The sequence below is a fragment of the Homo sapiens genome, chromosome 4 (genome assembly GCF_000001405.40).
Source record: "Homo sapiens chromosome 4, GRCh38.p14 Primary Assembly".
In the NCBI taxonomy this organism is placed as follows: Eukaryota; Metazoa; Chordata; class Mammalia; order Primates; family Hominidae; genus Homo; species Homo sapiens.
Genome location: NC_000004.12, coordinates 82,700,468 through 82,724,081, shown reverse-complemented (window position 1 = coordinate 82,724,081; position 23,614 = coordinate 82,700,468). Strand labels below are relative to the sequence as shown.

Sequence of the window (23,614 nt, the reverse complement as noted above, 5' to 3'; positions counted from 1 at the left end):
TTGCTTTATTTACCTATAACTTTTTTTCTCAGCCATTTGAAAGTAAGTTGCAGATGTTGTGGCCATTTACACCTAAATGATTCCATACACATCCCCTAAAAATAAGGATATTATCATAACCTAATCTAATATCTTGTCCAGATTCAGATTTCATGTGTCCTCAGACTATCTTTTATAATTGTTTTTTGTTTTGAGCTAGGAGCTAGTCAGGCTTTCACATTGTATTTGATTGTTATTTGTTTTCATTGTCTTTGGAACAGACCCTCACCCTTGACATTGACTTTTTGTTTTAGTTTTCTGTAGAATGTCCCACATTTTTGTGTGATTGTTTCTACCTTCCCTCTGTTTTCTGTAAACTGCGAGGTGAGTCTTACCGGCATGGTTGAAGTTAAGCATATTTGGCAAGAATGCCTGAAGGGTGATGCTGTGTGCTTCCTATTCATCATCAGAAGGTGTCAATTGCCTGCTTGTTCCACTTTAAAGTTTTTTAATTTTTAAGCTTTATCACGCTTATCAAACATATCAGAAAGCAAATAATCAGCGCATCTTATGGTAATCGACAAAACTGAACAAGGTAATTTTATTTACAGAAAAAATTTTAGCAAAAAAGTATATAGTACAGTCAATTGAAATGCATGTTCATTCTTCTTAGGTATACAAGAAAGTAGAAAATAAAAGTTCTCTGCTGCCCAATAAGAAAAAACAAGTCTTTTAAAAGACTTGAATGGAAATCAGACATTTAGGGATTTGTGAAAAGAACTTCTTGGTGCGGATCCACATCTACATTTAGAATTCCACTTAGTTATTTTTAAAAATAAATAAACGTCACAAACAAGACATCACAAAGAACAGAGAGCCCCTAGTGCCAAAAATTGCCAGGACCAATATGCTATTGAAACAACTGGTAGAAATGTTACAGACACCTCTTCACTATGTAATGTTCCTGTAGTTCTGAGGTGAAGGTAAACCAGCAGGAGAGAATCCTTTTTTTTTTTTTTTTTTTTGAGACAGAGTTTCGCTCTTGTCACCCGGGCTGGAGTGCAATGGCGCGATCTCGGCTCACCACAACCTCTGCCTCCCAGGTTCAAGCGATTCTCCTGCCTCAGCCTCCTGAGTAGCTGAGATTACGGGCACCTGCCACTATGCCCGGCTAGTTTTTGTAATTTTTGTATTTGTAGTGGAGACGGGGTTTCACTACGTTGGCGAAGCTGGTCTTGAACTTCTGACCTCAGGTGATTTGTCCGCCTCGGCCTCCCAAAGTGCTGGGATTACATGCGTGAGCTACTGAGCCCAGCCGAGAATACTTTTTTTTTTTTGAGATGGAGTTTGGCTCTTGTCACCCATGCTGGAGTGCAGTGGTGCAATTTCGGCTCACTGCAACCTCCGCCTCCCGGGTTCAAGTGATTCTCTTGCCTCAGCTCCTCAGTAGCTGGGATTAGAGGCACCTGCCACCACACCTGGCTAATTTTTGCATTTTTAGTAGACACCTAGTGTTTCACCACGTTGGCCAGGCTGGTCTCGAACCCCTGACCTCAGGTGATCCTCCTGCCTTGGTCTCCCAAAGTGCTGGGATTACAGGAGTGAGCTACCATGCCCAGCTGGGAATACTTTTTGTAAGTAGCTTTGGATTAAGTGATCTTTCACATTTTTTCTAACTATACCATCTTATCAAAAACATAACAATTACTTATTACTGAGTAAAAATAGTAGTAGCTTTTAATATTCACAACCAACCACTCTAGTGCTGACATAGGAGGCTACAAACTTAAAATTTTTTGATCATAACTAGATGATCAAGATGGAGCCCTTTTTGGGGGTAAAAATTCCTTCTACTCCATATTTGACACTGTTAAGAGGATATAAAGGAAAGTTAAATTATTTAAGATTTTTCACAAAAGATTTAAGAATGAAAGAATAAATCCTGCTGGAAAAGAATATGACAGCCATACCATCTGCAAAGTAAATCTTCTACAGAGGTGCAGCTTGACTCTTTTTATAGTAATAAATAAACACTGCTTAGTTCCATAAGGCACTGTCACTGCAGCTAGTGCACACTAGTGCCACCCACTGTCCCCAGTGTGCAACAGGAAGGGTGGAGGTGCGTTCCAGTGTTACTGATGCTAAGCTTCATCTCTTGGTTAAGTGGTGGCTTCCAGATGCTTCCGTTGTAAGATTCTATTTTCCCCTTTGCAGTTAGGAAGCAATTTAAGAGGTGATACTTCTCCCAAATCCTTTCATCTAATGATTTTAGCATTTGTATTAGTTTGCTCCTATAACAATGTACTACGGATGGGGTGGCTTAAGCAATAGAGATGTGTTGTCACACAGTTCCAGAGGCTAGAAGTTCAAGATGCAGGTGTGGGGAGCTTCCTCTGAGGGCTGTGAGGGAAGGATTTGTTCCAGGCCTCTCTCCTTCGCTTATAGATGGTTGGCTTCTCCCTATGTCTCTTCACATTGTTTTCCTTTTGTGTATATCTGTGTCTAAATTTCCTCTTCCTATGAGGACATCAATCACACTGGACTAGTCAACCCTTGCCTGCCCATGACCTCATTTTAACTTGATTACCTCTGTAAACACCCTACCTCCACGTCAAGTCACATTCTGGGGCACTGGGGGTTAGGACGTCAACTTTTGAATTTTGGGGGGACACAATTGTGATTCTTGCCTGAATCTGTTATTTATTGGGGTCTTTAGGTTTCTGTGAAACAGATTCTGAGATGCAGATTTGTGTGCTGGCATATCTAGTACTGTGCTTAGAAACATCTGTGGGGGAATAAGAAGCAGAATTGGACAGAGAGAGAAGCTGAATTGCAGTGCAGTTACAACAGAGGCCTCAGCCTATATGCTACAGGGAGCTGCGAAACGGGGCAGTCCTTTGAGGTTTTTTGTTTGTTTGTTTGTTTGTTTTTGTTTTTGTTTTAAGATGGGGTCTCACTCTGTCACCTAGACCGGAATGCAGTGCCATGGTCACAGCTCACTGGAGCCTCAAAATCCTGGGCTCAAGAGATCCTCCTACCTCAGCCTCTCTGAGTAGCTGGAACTACAGGCATGTGCCACCACCACACCCAGCTTTTTTATTTTTAATCACTTTGTAGAGATGGGGGTCTTGCCGTTTTGCCCAGGTTGGCCTAGAACTCCTGGACCCAAGAGATCCCCTCACCTCGGCGTCCTGAAGTGCTGGGATTACAGGCATGAGTGACTGTGCCTGGCCCGGACAGCCCTTTGGAGATGTTCCAAATTGAGGCAAAAGGCCAAATTTTGTACCCCTTTATCTACTAAGCATTGAATGCAGGCTGCTGCCAGGGAGGAGGCAAGCCTTGGGCTGTGCAGCTTCCCAGGTAGGGCAATGCCTGAGGAAAGACTCAGTTGTGAGCTGTTAGGCACCAACAATCCCAGTAGTTGGGGAATGAGTACCTGGACCTACAGAGGGTTGGGGCAGTGCTCAACAGCATCAGACACAATTGGGGATTGCAGAAGGGTGATTTCCCCCTCTAACCTGCATTTATTATTAATAATTTCTGAAATTATTAATTTCTGAAAAGAAGATCTTTCCTTCATCAACTAGGAATGGATTATAGTTCTAAAAAGACAGGATAAATGCTGCTTTCTCTTTTGTCTTTTTTTTTTTTTTTTTTTTTTATTTTTGCCTTTTTTGAGACAGCATCTCTCTCTGTCACCCAGGCTGGAGTTCATGATTACAACTCACTGCAGCCTCGACCTCCTGGGCTCAAGTGATCCTTCCACCTCAGCTTCCCGAGTAGCTGGGACTACAGGCGTACATCACCACACCCAACTAATTTTTAAAAAAATTTTTCTGTAGAGATGGTGTCTCACTATGTTGCCCAAGCTGGTCTTGAACCGGGGCACAAACAGTCCTCCCTCCTAGGCCTCCCAAAGTGCTAGGATTACAGGCATGAGCCACTGTGCCTGGCCGTTTCTCTTTTAATTACCAATTTTCCAAGTCATGAATGATGTAATTCATTTATACTCAGGGTTGCATTATGACTTTTGCCTTTGTAGGCCCCTTCTCCATAAAAATATATTAAAAATCATTTTACAACTACCAGCCTGGCCAACCTGGTGAAACCCCATCTCTACTAAAAATGCAAAAATTAGCTGGGCGTGGTGGTGTGCGCCTGTAATCCTAGCTACTCAGGAGGCTGAGGCATGAGAATCGCTTAAACCCAGGAGGCTGAAGTTGCAGTGAACTGAGATTGCACCCCTGCACTCCAGCCTGGGTGACAGAGCGAGACCCTGTCTCAAAAAGAAGAAAATCATGGCCGGGCGCGGTGGCTCATGCCTGTAATCCCAGCACTTTGGGAGGCCGAGGCGGGTGGATCACAAGGTCAAGAGATCAAGACCATCCTGGCCAACATGGTGAAGCCCCGTCTCTACTAAATATACAAAAAATTAGCTGGGCGTGGTAGCGGGCCCCTGTAGTCCCAGCTACTCGGGAGGCTGAGGCAGGAGAATGGCGTGAACCTGGGAGGCGGAATTTGCAGTGAGCCGAGATTGCGCCACTGCACTCCGGCCTGGGCGACAGAGCGACGCTCCGTCTCAAAAAAAAAAAAAGAAAATCATATTTTACAACTGTATTGGTATAAAGACAACTATAATCGAGGCTAGACTCATGATTATGTACTTATTACTATATTCTCTTTTTATCTTTTTGAAGAAAACATATTGTGGGCTGTGAGCACTGTGCCTACTGTGTCTAGTGGGTAAGTTAGCCCTGGTAATGTCCTAGATTGAGGCCAGGCAGGTAATAAATGAAGAGGGTTGATTCAGAGTGCATGTACTACTGTATGGGGTAAACAGGGGTGTCATGTGGAGCTGTCTCAGTGGAAGGGGTATGTAGTTCCTGGAAAAAGTTGCCATGCAAGAAAGAGAGGTGGCCTGACATTGCCAGATCTTTCCATGTTTCAGGAGAAGCCAGAAAAAGAGATTTTAAAATTTGAAATTCCCTATTTTTAATTGTTGGATCAGTTTTTTAAAAAATCTGTGGGTTGGTTGTGGCCTGGGGGCTGCCAGTTTGAGAACTCGGCTAGCAGCGAGCCCCCTGAAATGGAGGCTGCCCACTCTGATACTCCGCACCCTGGAGGAAACGGGCATGTGGAAGGTGCTCGTACGTGCTTGAGAAGGAATGAATGAATAATTGTATTTTGATAAGTCAACTCATTAAAATTAGGTTGGAATTTATGCATAAGAACCAAGTGAAGGTCAGAAAACCAAGCCTTGTAATATGCTGCAAAGAAAAAAAAAAGTCTGTCTTGGGGTTATTCACAGCAACTTAAAGCGATTTGGCAAGAATAAAAATGTGTGAAGAAACCTCTTGAAACTGGAGTTTGTGAACTAGGTCAGGCTGCCTTAATGATGCAGTCCCTAACTAGAGAACTGAAGGGGGTTTCATGGTATCTTGAAAGAATATTGCATTATTAAATTTCATCTTTTTTTTCTATTTAAGCCAGAAACATTGTGATAACAACAACCTTGAAAAAAATGTGTTTTGTAACTTTTTGGTGGGGGGAGCAGCAAGTACACCTCGCTGCCAAATATTCTTCATGTTTGTCCTTGGCCTGTGGCTGCCAGATAGAGGAACGTTTGGTCAGAATCCACTGGGTTCACACCGATCACCATGGTGAGGGAGGGTCTGAGTCAGAAAAAAGGACGAGAGGAGGATGAAGAAATCAGGACGGAGAGATGAGGACGGAGAGAAACAGCTCCTCCCAAGAGGCTTTCCTGGACTTTTCACTTTAATTTCCAGCTCTTTTGGCTCAGAAATAAAAGCAACAGTGATGCCTAGGGCCTCTCTCCATAGAATGTTCCCAAAGATGTCCCTCCAGAGCACAGCACTCAGCCCTCTGAGGGTCTGGTTATTGTGGTCTTTATGCTTCATTGCTGCAAAGGTGCCTGCCAGCTCTTCTGTGAAACCTTGGATTCCTGGACTTCAACCAGCAACTGTCTTTATTCCCTTAGAGAGATTGCTTTTTTTTTTTTTAAAAAAAAAAGGTGATAATGACCCATAACTACTCAGTTCAGATGATGACAGCAGAAATTATTCTTTTTTTTTTTTCACTTGCCTGAAATTGACCACTTTTGGTACTGTTTTTAATTTTTATCTTCCTTCAGAGGGACCAACTTTTTATTTTATTTTATTTTATTTTTGAGAGGGAATCTCACTCTGTCGCCCAGGCTGGAGTGCAGTGGTACCACCTCGGCTCACTGCAACCTCTGCCTCCTGGGTTCAAGCAATTCTCGTGCTTCACCCTCCCAAGTATCTGGGATTACAGGCATGTACCATCACACCTGGCTAATTTTTGTATTTTTAGTAGAGATGGGGTTTCACCATGTTTGCCAGGCTGGTCTCGAACTCCTGACCTCAAGTGATCTGCCTGCCTTGGCCTCCGAAAGTGCTGGGATTACAGGCGTGAGCCACTGCACCAGGCCAAAGGACCAACGATTTTGATATTAGTTTCCTATTTATAGGCAGAGATATTAATGAGCATGCATATACCTATAGTGATATAAAATGTATGCACATCTTCCTCTAACACACACAAACTTACTGCCCAAGATAAAATAAAAACTGAATAATTAATGAAAAGGAAATTCAGTGGGTCCATAGCACAGTAAATTACTCACTTTGTTCTCAATTTTCCCTAATGGTGATTTCGATAGTTGCATAACATGGAGAGAGAGAGGTTGTGATGGGAGTTATCCTGAATCAGAAGCAATGAATGTGTTTGCTCTTCCCCATTTCACCTCAGAGAACCTGAGCAGTCTGAGGACCCGGTTCAAAAAAAAAGTCTGTGTTGGGATCTGGGTCATCTTTTCCCTAGAGCCTCTGCTTCCTGGTCACCCAGCCTCAACCTTGCAATGTCTGCCTAGTAATAAAAATAATGGTGTTTGCAGTAATATTTATTGAAATATTGTTATATGCTAAATACCCTATACAGTGATCCTTCAGTATGTATAGGGGGTTGGTTCCAGGAACCCTCCATGGATACTAAAATTCACAGATGCTTGAGTCCCTTATATGAAATGGCATAGTATTTGCATATAACCTTTGCACATCCTCCCATATATTTTAAATCATCTCTAGATTACTTATAATACCCAAAACAATGTAAATGCTATGTAAGTAGTTGTTACAGTATATTGTTTAGGGAATAATGACAGGAAAAAAGGGCCTGTACATATTTAGTGCAGACATAACCATCCATTTTGCTTCCTCAAGTATTTTCTTTCTTTCTTTCTTTTGTTTATTGAGACTGAGTCTAGCTCTGTTGCCCAGGCTGGAGTGCAGTGGTACGATCTCGGCTCATTGCACCCTCTGCCTCTCAGGTACAAGTGATTCTCCTGCCTCAGCCTCCTGAGTAGCTGGGATTACAGGCGTACGCCACCATGCCTGGCTAATTTTCATAATTTTAGTAGAGACAGGGTTTCACCATGTTGGCCAGGCTGGTCTCGAACTCCTGACCTCAAGTGATCCGCCCACCTCGGCCTCCCAAAGTGCTGGAATTACAGACATGAGCCACCACGCCCAGGCTTCTTCCGCAAATATTTTCAGCCCACAGTTGAATCCACAGGTGAATCCACAGTTGAATCCACAAATGTGGCACCCATGGATAAGGAGGGCTGACTGTATGTATTTTCACTTAAGTCCCCCAACAACACTTTGATGTAGTCTTTTGTTTGTTTGTTTGTTTACAGATAAGAGAACTGAGACTAAGAGACAGTAAGTCGGTATCACCCCAGCTAGGAAATGGCAGAGGGGCAGTTCCAGATTCCCTGTGAGCTCCCTCCCTTCTGTGTGGAAGGAGCTGACATTCTCCGTGAGTTCTTCCAGGGAGCTTTGATTCCCATGCCTAGTAAATGATCTCCCCGACACCCGGAAGAGAAGCTTTGTGTTATTTGAGGGAAAGGAAGAGGCTTCGAAGAAGAGAGGAAGAAGCCACAGGGGAAATCATGGAACGCTCTCAGGCTGAACTAGTTTATGCTATCGAATAGTTTTTTCTCAAGGGCTTGCCTTGGTATCATTGTACTGAACAAATATTAGCAGATCAAAAAAATGATAACATTGACTTTTTTTGGTAAAATATTACACAATTGACAGCTCCAAATATAGCTCTCCTTATACTTGAGTGTGGCCACAAGTACCAGTTGCCAAACATTTTCAAAAGTGGACTGGAAGCAGAACAGCCTTAGTCTTTGTCATTTTCTTTCTCCTCCCTTCCCCAAACCATTCAGTTTAGTCATCTTGTTTTACATGCTGTTGGTCAAGAGCTAGGCTGTCAGCATCATCCTATGACAGCTAAGAGTTCTTAACTTTCTGGTCATCAAGTTTTTCCTCTTATCAATGCATCTCTTTTCCTTCACGAGACCTCATTTCCCACACCAAGGCATGAGGTATAAGCCAGAGTTATGACCCCTGTCTTGTCAGTATGAGGTTCTAGAATATATGTGTGTATTTTAAAGCTCCTCAGAAAATTATGATACAGGTAGCCTGGCGCCAGAATGGTGTTTGGGACACCCTTATTTTTTTTTTATTAATGAGGAAATTGAGGCCCAGAGTGATGAGTAACTTGTCAAGGGCCTTCCAGTTCCTAATCTAGGCTCTGGATGCTGAAAATAACCCAGATAGAAGCCAGAGGAAGCCCATCGGTTCAGCACAGGCCGGCCTCCTGGGGCACAGAGCAGCATGAGAAGGGAGGGTGTGTGTCTGCCAGGGGTGCATGGAGAATACTCAGCCCAACGTCTTCCATTTCCGCTCATTATCACTCATCTTCCACAGCCTTCAGATCTATCGTTCTAAATCTGATCACATGATTTTTTTTTTTTTTTCAGACGGAGTCTTGCTCTGTCACCCAGGCTGCAGTACAGTGGCATGATCTTAGTGCACTGCAACCTCTGCCTCCTGGGTTCAAGCAATTCTCGTGCCTCAGCCTCCCAAGTAGCTGGGATTACAGGCGTGTGCCACCACACCCGGCTAATTTTTGCATTTTTAGTAGAGGCGGGGTTTCATCATGTTGGCCAGGCTGGTCTCGAACTCCTGACCTCAAGAGATCTGCCTGCCTCAGCCTCCCAAAGTGCTGGGATAACAGGTGTGAGCCACTGCGCCTAGCCTCACATGAAATTCTTTATGGTATCCTGTTGTTCTCAAGATCAGTTCTATCTCTCTAGCTACATACAGGTTGAGTATCCCTTATCCAAACTGCTTGGGTTCAGAAGTGTTTTAGATTTTATATTTTTTCAGATTTTGGAATATTTGCCATATACTTACTGGTTGAACATCCCTGCTTCAAAAATCTGAAATCCAAAATGCTCCAATGAGCATTTCCTTTGAGCATCATGTGGGTGCTCAGAAAATCTCAAATTTTAGAACATTTCAGATTTTCAGATTAGGGATGCTCAACCTATATGAGTCCCTTCCAGACCTGGCTCCTTGCCTGTTTTACTCCCTTCATTTTACCCCCACAGCCCCCTGCCCTGGAGCCAAACCAAACCACTTGCTCCTGCTTGAACACACACAGCCTTCACACCTCCATGCCTTGCTAGCAGCAGTCCCTCCTTCATGAGCTCATGCTTCAGGTGCTCCTGTATACCTGGGTCTCTCCTTCAGAGTCCCTGTCACCCAGTAATGATTTGTTCAATGTTTACCTAGAGACTGCCCATGAGTAAAGGGACTACACCTATCTTGTCTGGACCTGGATAAGAGCAGTTTTGATTGGGGGCAGCTATGAGGGGAGAAAGACCAAAACCTGATTGAGTGGGTTTAAGAGAGAATGGAAAGAGAACTGCAACCAGTGATTAGAGGCAATATTCAGTAAGTTTCACTGTAAAGGGGAATAGGGAAATGGAATAGGATCCAGGTGGGGAAGTGGGGTCAAGAGAGGTTTTTAAATTTTGCTTTTTAACATAAGAGAAGTAACAGCATGGCTGTAGGCTGTGGGAATAATGTAAGTATGTGGGGCGGTGTTGATGATACAGACAGGCAGACAGGAATTTCTGAGTAATGTATGGGTAGGATGAGTGGATATGATGCACAAGGGAAGGGCCAGACTTAAAGAGAGAGTGGCTTGGCCATGTGCAGTCATGTAGCGATCATAGAGTACCCAGGCTCAGATGCTGGATGGTAGGTAGAGGTGGCGGAGCCTGGGGAAGTTCTGATATTCTTACTGAAATCAGAAGCAAAGTTATCAGGTGAGTAGGGCAGGGAGGTGTCAGGGGTGAGGTGATCGGAGCAGGTATGAGGTCAATGTCTAGGAGAGAGGGACCGCATATGGATCGGGGAAATATAATATGGTTGCTGGGTAATAGTAAAGCCCAATTGAGGTTAGTGGTCATGATTTTAAAGTGAGACCAATCAACATGGTTGAGTATTTTTCTCTGGTTGAGTTAGTTGCACAGATGCCAGCTGAGAATACATGGAAAGACAGACAGACACAATCCCTGCCCTCCTGGAGATGATGTTTCAGTAAGGGCAGATAGCACTGGACCAGTAATTCCTTATTTAATAACAACGTGACAATTGCTGTATTGGTTAACACAGAGGGCAACAGAGTATCTAACAGGAGTGCCTGTCTGAAGTGAGCCATGTATATACTGAATGAAGTCCTGGAACGATCCAAAATCTTGCCTTCTTTTTTGTTTGAATTACAAACTGTGTGGTGCAGTAGCAGAGTAGTAACAACGTATGCTATAATTTTGTGTTTCTTAGTGATCTGCTATGACTTTCATGCTTATTGCTATATAAGCTGTAAATCAACCAGGAAAAGTAGCAGTTGCCCAGTATGTTACAACCGTGTAAATGGACCTAACCCAAGGCAGGAAGGACACTTGAGGAAAATAAGCAATATGTATAAAAGGCATGAAATGTATCCTCTCTCTCTCCTGTTCTATCCCCTTGTCATTTAATCTTCCTAGATGTGGGCAGTTGCTTAAAGATTCATGCTGTGGGATGAGAGAACATATCTTTCTGCAGCTCATATGCGGCACAGTAGACGATGGCTTAGTGGAGGGAGGTAGATGGCAGAGAGGAGCTGCCGGTTATTGTAAGTATAATAGAATTTAGAAGGTTTTAATAGTAAGAAGAAACCCTTTGCTTCTCAGCTTGCAGTCTCCAACACCCTTGAAAATGTTCTGATTTTGAAAGAATTGTTGAAATAGTACCTACGTGGAAATCACCTCTGAATCTTGAACCTTGTATACCCAGACTTTTCAAGGGAAGATGTAAGATTTAACTGAGGTTCTTTGTGGTGCTATTCCATGAGATAAGTAGCCGTAGAGGTCCTTGCCCTGTCACTGGCAGCCCTTTATCAGACACACACACATGTGCGCATGCACACACATACACACACATTCATTCTCTCTGTCTCTCTGATCTGGCTGGTCAGAGAAACACTCAGGGACTCTGGGCCAGCAGCATCAGCACCTGCCACAAGCTCTTTAGAAATACAAGTTGAGGCCAGGTGTGGTGGCTCACGCCTGTAATCCCAGCACTTTTGGAGGCCAAGGCGGGCAGCTCACAAGGTCAGAAGTTCGAGACTAGCCTGGCCAACATGGTGAAACCCAGTCTCTACTAAAAATACAAAAATTAGCCAGGCGTGATGGCACACGCCTGTAATCCCAGCTACTCAGGAGGCTGGGGCAAGAGAATGGCTTGAACCCGGGAGGCAGAGGTTGCAATAAGCCGAGATCACGCCATTGCACTCCAGCCTGGGCGGAGCCTGGGCGACAGAGCGAGACTTCATCTCAAAAAAAAAAAATAAAATAAAAATAAAATATATATATATATATATATATATATATATATATATATATATATATATATATATGTTAGTTGGTCCCTCCCCAGACCTATTGAGTCAGAATCTCTTGGGCTGGGGTCCTGCAACTGCACTTTACTAAGATCCCCTGCCTTAGATTGTATCCTGGCTCTATCACTGTCAAGTTTTCTTCATCTATAAGATGGAGATCATAATGGCACCTACCCCCTACACTTGTGGTGAGTATTAAATGAGTTACTGTGTATAAAGTGCTTAAAGAGGGCCTGGCACATAGAAAGCTCTCAGTCAATGGTAGCTCTTATTATTATAGGGCACATGAAAATGTGAGAATCAGTGATACTATTGATCTCACACCATAGTCCTTTGTTTCCAGCTTATTTATGAAATAATATCAGAAATAAATTACTCCTGCTCCTAGAGCTCCCCATGAAACTAGAGAGGTGCGAAGAATCAAGGACAGGTGCAGTCAAATCCAGAGAATGAACAAGGCTTGGTTTCAAGAAGAGCTTTCCTAAGAATTTAGCGATTCTCTACCTTGTCACTATTGACATGTTTGACATTTAGGGCTGGATTTTTTTTTTTTTTTAAGACAAGGTCTTACTTTATCACCCAGGCTGGAGAACAGTGGTGAGATCCTGGCTCACTGCAGCCTCCACCTCCTGGGCTTAAGTGATCTTCCTACCTAAGCCCCACAAGTAGCTGGAACTACAGGCACGTGCTACCACGCTTGGCTAACTTTTTGTAGATACAGTGTTTTGCCTTGTCATCCAGGCTGGTCTCAAATTCCTGAGCTCAGGTAATCCACCTGCCTTGGCCTTCCAAAGTGCTGGGATTATAGGCATGAGCCACCGCGCCATCCTGGATATTCTGTACATAGGCAGCTTCCGTGCATTGTGGGATGCTGAGCAGCATACCTGGCTTCCACCCACTAGATGCCAGTAACACCCTTCAAGTTTTGGGTTGCAACACCCAATAATGTCTCAAAACATTGCCAAATGTAGGGGGTCACAGTGGGGAGGGGAGGCAAAATCTCTGCCTCCTCATCAGAACCACAAGTTTATAGTGATGAAAAGTGTGGGTGTCTTCAGAGTGGGTTATCGGGGGGGGGATCTTTTCAGAAACAGAGCATGGCATTCATGCATGGGGCAATAATATGTGCCGGTGCTTACTGCTTGCCAGGCACGGTTCCAATTTTGCATGCAGTACCCCTTTTAATCTTTACAACAAACCCAGGAGGCAGGTACTATTTTCCCTACTTTACACATGAAGAAACCAAGCTTTAGAGAAATTGTCACAGTGATAAGTGATTTATCAGGGATTCAATCCCAGGGCCATTTTAGCCATGATGCTGTATTGCTGAGCACTACATATATGCACTTCTCTCTCTCTCTCTCTCTGTCTCGTTTTCTCTTTGTCTTGTTTTCTCTCTCTCTCATTTTCTCTCTCCCTCTCTCCTTCTCTCTCTCTCCCTCCCTCCCTCCCTCTCTCCCTCTCCAACAATGGGGCTATAGGCCTTTGCCTATCTATCTTCAGAACCTGGGAAGGTCTAGAGAGGAGAAACAGTCACTAATTGGCCAGAGCCCAGAACTGACTTTCAAAACACTTGAACTGACTGGAAAAGCAGACATCAAAGTACAGTGCCTTCTTCCATGTTCCCCCTCCTCAACCCAGGGGTCACCCTCTCCCAAGAAGCCTTCACCCTCTGTTGGCTTCCCCCTCCTCTCCTCAGTTCTCTGGGGAAAAACAGCTCCCCACTGCACACCCTGAGCCACAGCCCAGCACCCAGATATCAAAGACTCTGCAGCTGAGAGCCTAGGGGGCAGCTCTCACCATCAAAGGGAGCTGGTGGGGAGGTGGGGCGGGTGGAGTGTGAACAGGACTCTGAGTTCACATGAAAGGATGACATTGTCTCCTGATCCGAGGGTCACTTTGCATTTACTGAGGCCCCATGGAGAGTCAGCATCTGGTGGTGGGTTGCAGAGAGCACTGCTCTCTGGATCTTATCTCTCTGTTTGTAAATCGAGAAGGTGGGGCCACATGGTGTCTAAGAGAGGGTGTACCTTATGAGGCAGGAGTTTCTCAGCCCTGGTTTTGCATCAGAATCATCTGCCGAGAGAGAGATGCCTGCTGTCTGGCCCCCATTTCTGATGCAGTCAGATGTTTAAGATCTCAGGTGACTGTAATGCACAGCCAGGGTGGAGAACCACTGCACTTGCCTGAAAGAGCTTGAGGTTGGACTGATCTGGTGTTGGAATTCTGGCTTTATCACTTAGAGGTCCCAAGGCATTTATTTAATGTCTCTGGGTCTCAGTTTTGCAAATCTGTAAAATGGAAATGATGATATCTACCTCATAGGAGTAAAACAGGAAAATTAGGTACATTGGTAAAGTGACAGCCCAGGGCAGGCCGTCAGTGAGTCTTCACTCCCTTCTCGCTTTCTGTTAGGCAGGGATGTTCCTCACCTGTTGATGGACACTTGGATTATTTCTGCCTTCTGGCTATTGTGAATAATACTGCTATGAACATGGATATATAAGTATCTGTTTGAGTCCTATCACTGCTCTCAATTCTTTTGGGTAAACATCTAGAAGTGGAATTGCTGGAACAAATGATAAGTTTATGTTTGATGTTTCCTTCCATCCATGGATCCTCTTTTCCAACCTGAGGGCTTTGCATCTGTGAGTCCCTCTGCCTGATCTTGCCTCCTCTGGACCTTGCTCAGTTGACTTCTTATCTTTTAAGTGTTAGCCTAAATTCTTGTTTCTTCTGCAAAGCCTTCTTTGGCCCCCCAAACTAAATTATCCACTTTTTGATCTCTCTTATATTATTCTGTTCATTTGCTCTGTAGCACTTTCCATACTTTGTCATTATATAGCAAGTAACTTACTTTTCAAACTCCTGTTAAACTCCCAGTTCTGAGCTCAGTGGCTGGTACATAATAGCAGCTCAATGAAACTGTCTCATAAAGTCTCATAAACTGGCACTCATGTTTATGACAAGCCGAGGCTGAATGGGATGCAGAATGATGGTGTAGGTATTACAGGCAAGGGAGTAACTTGGAAGGGCATTAAGGAAAACCAGAATTTTGACTTTCAGCTTTTGTTTTGAGCTGGCTAAAAGGACCTGATTCATTCAAGTTCCTCCTGCTAGAATGAACTCTGCTTCCAGGGCACAGGCAATCAGCAGGGGCATTTAGATGTGGGCTCTTCCTGCCTTAGATTGTACCCTGGCTCTATCACTGTCAAGTTTTCTTCATCTGTAAGATGGAGATCATAATGGCACCTACCCCCTACACTTGTGGTGAGTATTAAATGAGTTACTATGTATAAAGTACTTAAAGAGGGCCTGGCACATAGAAAGCTCTCAGTCAATATTATTTATTAATGTTCACTCTGATGCTATAGAGATACAGATTATAAGCGAGGGTTAGAGAGCTCGGCCAAGTGCTTCCTTCTGTCGAGCACTCAGGGATGGCTCTTGAAGGGGGCTGTCCATCTCTTTCTCTGATCAGGTCCAGGATTAAGGGAGTTTTAACTTTTGCTTTTTAACATTCCTCTAGGACTGTTCTCTGTCATATAGTCAGGAGGGGGTCACTACAGTCATTATCAAAACAATGTACCAAATAGGGAAATCAGGACAGATAGGAGGTTGTGCCTTCCACACAGAAGCCAAAGGAGCTCTGGACTCTGTCTCTTCCCATCCCTGGCTGCTAGATCTTGGGCTTGTGGTGCAAGCATGGGCAACAAGGTACTTCTGCCTTGGAATCCTGGGTGGTCTTGATAGCTTCAGGCATAGGTGTAGGGTCAAACAGAGGCTCTTCTTGACCTCTGTGGAAGATTCAAGGGTCCAAGTTATGACACATGTCTGGTGGTGGCAAGTATCTAGGGGTGGTGATGCCTGTGGGAGCATCCTAGGCCAATGGTTGGTTTTTGATTGCTTTGTTCTGTTTTGGGACGGGTCTATTTTATTTTACAGTAAGAAAATATATATAATAACAAAATCCAATGGGAATTCAGTAATTGTTTCTTTAAATAATGGATTTTTGAGCTATAACTCATACTGTACAACTCACCTATTTAATGTATACAAGTCATTTGTTTTTAGTATATTTGCAGAATTGTGCAACTGGCCCTAAAATACATTTTAAAACATTTTTATTCATAGAACCCATTAGCAGCCACTGCCTTCTTCCCCTTTCCTCCACCCCCTACCCCATGCAACACCAGCCTGTTTACTTTCCCTATAGATGATAAACTATTCTACAATCAGGATTTAAGATGTACCTTCCTTCCATGAATGAAAGGTTCCTGCTTATGTTTTGTATTCAAGTTATCTATTGTTGCATAACAAATTACCCCCAATTTAGTAGTGTAAAACAAAACATATTTATTTTCTTACAGTTTTTGTGGGACAGGAGTCCAGGTACAGCTTAGCTGGATCCTCTGCCCCAAGATCTCCCACGGGGCTGCAGTGTGTTGGTCAGGGCTACAATCTTGCCTGAAGGCTCAACTGAGGAAGGATCTGCTTCCAAGCTCACTCATGTAGTTGTTGGTAGGATTTGGTTCCTTGAGGGCTGTTGGACTGGGGGCCTCATTTCCTTACTGGCTGTTGGCTGGAGGAATCCTCAATTCTTTGCCACATGGGCCTCCCCAACATGGCAGCTTGCTTTATCAAAGCCAGCTCAAGAGAGAATCTGCTAGCAAAACAGAAGTCACAATCTTTTGTAAACTAATCATGGAACTGATATTCCCTCAATATTGCTATATTCTCTTGGTTAGAAGCAAGTTACTAATAGGGAAGAGACTACACAAGGCCATGCATGCCAGAAGGTGGGGAGCACATGGACCATCTTGGAGGTGGCATAGTAGCCTGTCCTGCAGGACCGTCCGTGAGTTCTCTAGGCTGCTCCATATATTTTTTAATTCCTGCTTTTGTTTTTGTTTTTGGCTTGAGCTAACCAGAATCAATGACTCTTGTTTGCATCCAGACTGCCATACTTGTTTGTTGCTTATAATTCTGTCATTTTGTGATTCTGGTTTCTATTGATTTAGCACCTTTCTCTGTGAGGTATGAGCTACTTGGTAAAGTATTTGGCATTACCCATTACTCCTTTTATCTCCTCAAAGTCACAAGTTCTTTGTCTGAATATTTCATTACCTCAGATGCAGCTAGTAAGCATCCAACTGAACACTTGTTTGAATATGAGTCTCCACAAGGATCATAGAAGAGAAATTAAGAACAGAGAATTAGCACTGTCAAAATAGGAAAACTGAATCCTGTTAATGGGACAGCCCATGAATCCTTACATTCAGCCCAGGCTTTTTGTGGTTTTTCCTCATTTGGGTCATGACCAGAGGGTTGGTTTCCTCCCAAGAGCTTCAGCAGAATTTAAGCGTCAGAAATCCAGTGCAAGCTAGATTAAGCAAGAAAATGAAGTCTGTTGGCTCTGGTAACTAGGACACACTGTGCAGGCTCCCAGGATCAAAAGAAGAATGACAGAGCTCCTAGGTCAGCAACCAGTGGCTCAAGGCAGGTTTAGCTCTTGTGGGCATCTTCATTGTCTTCATGTCTCACTTTCTTGGCCTCAAGATTTGCTATTGTAATCAGGTTTTCTCAGCTTGGTAATATGTAATCTTTGGTAAACCCCAGCTTAGGCTTTGAGCCAGAAGAGGGAAAAGGATTGGCTCAGGTGTTTATTCTCATGTCTGGGAAGACAGGGCAGTATACTAGGCCAGGGCCAGGTCACATGGCCAAATTCCAGTTGTTAGAAGGACCATGGGAAACCGACAGCCACTACTGCACAGTACAGGCGCTGCTGTGAACCACTGTTGGTGCCATAGGGATAGACAGACAACCATGCAAGTGATCCCTAAATTATTGGAGATTCCCAAAAGGACAAGACAATGTCTGTGGTAAAGGTCTGACTGGGAAATGTGGATTAGAGTGATCCTTTTTTAGCCAATGTTTTTCATGGAGTCTTGGAATTAATTTTATTGCACCCAAGGTCCAGCCTACTGGCAGAATAGAATCACATTGAATTTTTCCATTCTAGATTTTACTTGTTCCCTGACTACTTGCTAGTTGAAAAAAAAAATGTTAATAGAGATAAGAAGGCCAGGGATGACAAGGAAAATGACTGTCCATTTCATGGACTCATGACCAAGGTTAAATTACAATAACAAAGGAGGCCAGAGCTTTTTATTTACTGCAGCTTTCTGTGATTTGTGGGCAGATTGTTGTTTGTGTTTTGCTTTTAACCTTTCAAGTAAGGAATGATTTGTCATGTTCATGAAAACCACATGTATTCAGGGACCGTTTATTCTTAGAGTTAAGGGTAAATCTTGTTTTTAGAACCAAATAAATATAGATTGAGATCAAGATCAGTCAAACACTTCTGGAAGATGTAATATTGTGCTCTCTTTAAATATGTTTATTGATACCAATAATGGGCACTGCCACTTAGAAATATGCTCTTCACATAACACTCACCCTGTCATGTGTGCCAATTAAGAGGTGAGGTAGAGCTCAATCTCTGCCCTGCCGAGAGTGTATGTGTGAAATTGAATTGCAAATGTACATTGACATGGTTGTGACTTTGCATCAAGACTGGCAAGAAACATTAGCAAATAAAAGATTTGCTGTAGGGAAGGATATTCAAAGGTCAAAGTTTGCTGAAGAAAGTTCTCTGCTTATGCATGGTACTGGGATGCTACAAATCAATAAAAAGGCTGCCTCCTCTCAAGTTATTGATTCTTCATGTTGCAGCTTTCCCCCCTGACACCATTTCACGTGTGTCCCTGTTCAGGAGAGAAAAAGCATGGGGGGTGTTTGAAAGCTCAGGGACCATTGTTGACGTTGTCCCTGCTTGTGTCTTGCAGCCTACTTCTGCTTCCTCCTGGCCGCTCTGGGTGTGACAGCTGGTGCCCATCGCTTGTGGAGCCACAGGTCCTACCGGGCCAAGCTGCCTCTGAGGATATTTCTGGCTGTCGCCAACTCCATGGCTTTCCAGGTGAGGATGGAGGGTCCTCTCTGTGTTGGGAGACCCAGTGCAGATGGCAGTATGGGAGGAGGGGAAAGATGGGCTGACACCCCTCCACCCCTGTCCTAGACTCAGTGTTCAGGCCCCAAGCACGCCCAGTCTGTCCCAAGTTTTTATCTCTTTGTAGCTTTTAGATACAGTAAAATGTCCCCTGGGGGGGTTTTGTGCCCTAAGGCATGCTGAACTACTGAGGGGAAAGGAGACTCCTCTATCCAGAGCCCATGCTGTGAACATACCCTGAAAGCCTCAACATTTGTCCAGCCCTAACCAGGGGCCAAGTTCTGTGATAAGCACACTGGTATGCATATAGTATTTGATCCGCATAGTAGCCCTGTGAGCTAGATGTTACATGTGTCCCATTTTACAGATGAGGAGAATGAGGTTCAGTGAGGTTAAAGAACCTGCCCAAATCATATGCCTAAAAAGCAGTACATTCAGGGCTAGGCAAATGCAGGCCAGCCTGACTCCAAGTCATTGCTCTTACAACACCTAGTCCCGAGGTTGCCCTGCGAGGTCATGGTGGAAAGACTATTCCATCTGAAGTTTGAAGACGCAGGGATTTTACTCTGATGGGTGCTGGCTGTGAATCACTTCCTCAACTTCAGTTTCTTAATCTGTAAAAATAAGAACAAAACTTCATTCTCAGGGTTGTTATAAAATCAATGAAAACTGCAGGGAGCTATAAAAATGTAAGAGACGGTCATCACTGCACTAGGATTGGGCCATATTCTTTAAGACTATCCCAGTCCTAGACCATTCCCCACCTCCTTGGGTACTTTCCTTGGGTACTTTTGGTTTGGTCATGGATCTCTGTTTTCCCAATTCCTAATCTGAGTGAGAACAACTTGTTTTCAAAACTTCTGCCCACATTATGAGTGTAGATGATTCTGGGCCCCGTGCATTTTCACTCATTGGGAAGGAATGGTGATTGCGAAAAGTGCTCTAGAGTCCAGGGAGACGGGTGACCCAGGAGCTTCCCTGTGGCCCTCAGACACACAGCTCATGTGGCCACCTCTGCCATGGGCCTTCCACTCCTACGAGACAACCTGATGCGGAATATTTCACTAAGTGCTCTTGTAGCTCAGAATTCATTTCCTTATTTTAGGCATCTCTTACACAGTTTGACTTTTCATAAGGTAAATAGGATATAACACAATAGGTCAATTAGGAAACACAATTGGTGGTGTGTATATATACTGCTTGTCATTCAAGCACATCAGGTATTAGTACTGAGGTCCTAGGAAATAAGCTATTAAGCATAAGGGAGCAGTTGGCAGCTTCCTGGTTCCATGTTCATTTGTTCACCACTGGCAGTGTGAACTATGCTGCACTTTATTTTGACTTCAGCCATCTTATTTCAGTGTTGTGCTTTCAAAATAATAATTGACTTAGGTCTTAGATGACGTTGAGGACCTAACTTGATAATTTTCATTTCTTGTGTTCAAGCAATCCTTTCTTTATAGCCTCCAATGACACACTCATGTAGTTATAAAACATTTCTATTATTGGACTTTTTTTCAAAGATAAATAACTTGTAGCTGAAGCCTAAAACTCTGATTTTTTTTCTCATGAAACTACTTGTTTATAACTCAAAATTTGAAAACCTAAGTTTTCTTAACAAAACACCACATAACAGAATATTAGACTGTGATTTTAAATTTATTTTAGGGAGAAAGTACACTGTAGATGGAAGTACCCAGGTCCTAGAATAAATTCTTTGCTCTGCCATTTGCTAGATGTGAGCCTTTCTGCAAGTATCAGTTCCTTTATCTGCAAGGGGAGGATAATAATATTTGCCTCACAGAGTTGCTAGGAAGATAAAATAATGAATAAAAAGTACCAAGCTTATAGTAGCAATCGGTGAATATTGTTCTCCCCTTCTCTTTTATGAGAATTGATATATTGTTTAATTGGTTTCTGTATGCTAATGTCTGTCATATAGAAAACAATTAATGATTGTTAGGTAAATAAAAAAATAAATGAACAGCTTTAAAATGTAGTTTTAGAAACCATCAAATTTGAACTATGCATACTTTTTCAAGGCCCACATTTGTAGTGGATTTTTAAAATTCATTCAACGAATACTTATTGAGCACCTACTATGTGGCAGACACTGAGAAGGCACAGTGAGAATAACAATGAGCAAAGAGTCACAAGCTTCGCCTTCATGGAGCTTTTCTGTCTAGTAGGATATTAGAATCCCCAAAGTTTCCCAGTGGAAATTTCAGTGTTTCATGGACCTGGGGTTTTATAACAATGTCACTTAGACCTAGGTGGAAGGTACCTCTCTAAGATCAGATTAGGGCCAGTTTCCATAACATGCAGAACTGTGTCAGTGGGAGAGAACTAGAACAGAACTAGAACTAGTCAGTGTCTAGAACAATTTATTTAAACCACTTAACCCTATGAGGAGAACAACCTGGGGAAATGAAAAAATGCTATGATCTGCCAGTGTAGGATGGTGACTTACAACCCTGACTTAATGCAGTCATTGATTTAGTTTCCCTTTGATAATCCATGGGTTTTTAAAGATAGTTTCAAAGATTCTCTCTCTTCTCTCCTTCACCGGAATGGTCATGCCATTGGCCAAAATGGACAAGTCATGCCATAGCTGTCTCTGTTTGGGATCAGCAGGGTTTTTGCTAGATGCTACAAACAAGACCTTGAGCATTAAGAACAGTATTCTTAACGTTGAGACTTAAACATTTTAAACTCCTTTTCTTTTTCTTCTATAGAAGATGTATGTATGGGGCTGAGAGGCAATAGTAGGAAAGGTGGAGATACTTTTAGTCTAAAAAAATGATGATGGGCTGGGCGTGGTGGCTCATACCTGTAATCCCAGCACTTTGGGAGGCCGAGGCGAGTGGATCACCTGAGATCAGGAGTTCGAGAGCAGCCTGGCCAACATGGCAAAACCCCGTCTCTACTAAAAATACGAAAATTAGCTGGGCATGGTGGTGCATGCCTATAGTCCCAGCTATTTGAGAGGCTGAGACAGGAGAATCACTTGAATTCGGGAGGCAGAGGTTGCAGTGAGATGAGATCACACCACTGCACTCCAGCCTGGGCGACAGAGTGAGACTCCATCTCACAAAAAAAAAAAAAAAAAAAAAAAAAAAAAAGATGATGATGGGGCAGGAATGCCTGATAAGGAGCTATAAAATCCTCTGTCCCCTCTGAACCTGAACGCTTGTATTCAGCAAAGATCTCCTGAGTTCCTCTATGGTCTATCCTCCTTCCTTGCCAGTAGGGTGAAGTCAACCTAAAGACTGCTTGCAACTTCCTTATAATTTGCTCCAAGTCAAAGATGGACCCAGGTGAGAGATGCCTGTTCTCCAAGAGTTAAGTTTTCACAAGGAAGAGCCAGGATTCAGATTTGTGCTGTCACGCTCATGCATCTGCTTCTGCTGGCTACATCTGGGTCTCTCACAGACCCAGTCCAACCAAAAGCACCTACTAGATGCTTCAGCCCACTCCCTCGTGGCTCATATTTCCTTATCAAGTCATGGTAATGAGGCATTGGATTGAGAGCTGGAAGAGAACTAAAGGGATTTAGCTTAAATTCTCATATTCTACAGAGGAGTAAACAGAGAATACCAGTGACTTCTCGAAGTTCACACAGCTAATTAGTGGATAGACAGACTGAAACCCCATTGTCCTGATTCAGGCCACCCACTGGATATTCTTATGTGCTGTCCTACAGCATGATTTCTAAACAACATAGAGTTTAGTCTTTTTTTTTTTTAATCCTCTCTGACAGTCTGTCTTTTAATTGGTATATTTAGACCATTCACACTTAAAGTAATTATTGATATAGTTGGACTAATATCTACCAAGTTACCAATTATTGATATAGTTGGATCAATATCTACCAAGTTTCTGTTTTCCATTTGCTGCTCTTTTTCTTACTTTTTATTTGTGTATTCTACTCTTTTTCTATTTTTATGTGGTTTTAATGGACCATTTTGTATAAGTCTATTTTCTGTCCTCTCTTAACATATGAATTATACTTCTTTTTAAAAATTTTTATGGATTGCCCTAGAATTTGCAATATACATTTACAACTAATCGAAACCCACTTTCAAATAACACTGTACCACTTCATAATAGTACCTGCAGTAGCACAAGGACCTTCTAACAGTGTATTCCCAATTTCTCCCTCCTGTCTTTTACGACATTGTTGTCATTCATTTTACGTATCCATAAGCTATAATCACTAAACAAATTGTTACTATTCTTATTTTGAACAAATTGTTATGTGTTAGATTAAGAATAAGAATAATAAAAGTTTCTATTTTACCTTCACTTATGTAGATCCAGGTTTCTGATATAATTTTTCTTCTCTCTGAAGAACTCTTTTTACCATTTTTTGCAAGGCAAGTATACTGGTGACAAATTCCCTCAATTTTGGTTTGTCTGAGAATGTCTTTTTTTTTTTTTTTTTTTTTTTTTTTTTTTTTTTTTTAGAGACAGGGTCTCACTCCGTCACCCAGGCTGGAGTGCAGTGGAGCAATCATGGCTCACTGCAGCCTTGAACTCCTGGGCTTAAGCGCCCCTCCCACCTCAGCCTCCCTAGTAGCTAGGACTATAGGCACATAGCACCACACCCAGCTTGAGAAAGTCCTTATTTCTACTTCATTTTCGAAGAGTAATTTTGCTGAGTACAGAATTCTAGGTGGGTGGATTTTTCTCTTTCAACACTTAAATATTTTATTTCACTCTCTTCTTGCTTGCTGGTTTCTGAAGAGAAACCTGGTATAATTCTTCTCCTCACTCCTTTATAGG

The 23,614-nt window shown here is 42.9% G+C and overlaps 1 protein-coding gene across 2 annotated transcripts in view; it reads left to right on the top strand.

Moving 5' to 3' along the window:
• Nucleotides 1-23,614, top strand: part of SCD5 (stearoyl-CoA desaturase 5) — a 169,258-nt gene that overhangs the window by 74,715 nt on the left and 70,929 nt on the right. For both annotated transcript variants that reach the window (NM_001037582.3, NM_024906.3), the window contains exon 2: nucleotides 18,669-18,799. In NM_001037582.3, coding sequence (NP_001032671.2) covers nucleotides 18,669-18,799 — 131 coding nt within the window. The remainder of the gene's footprint in view (nucleotides 1-18,668; nucleotides 18,800-23,614) is intronic.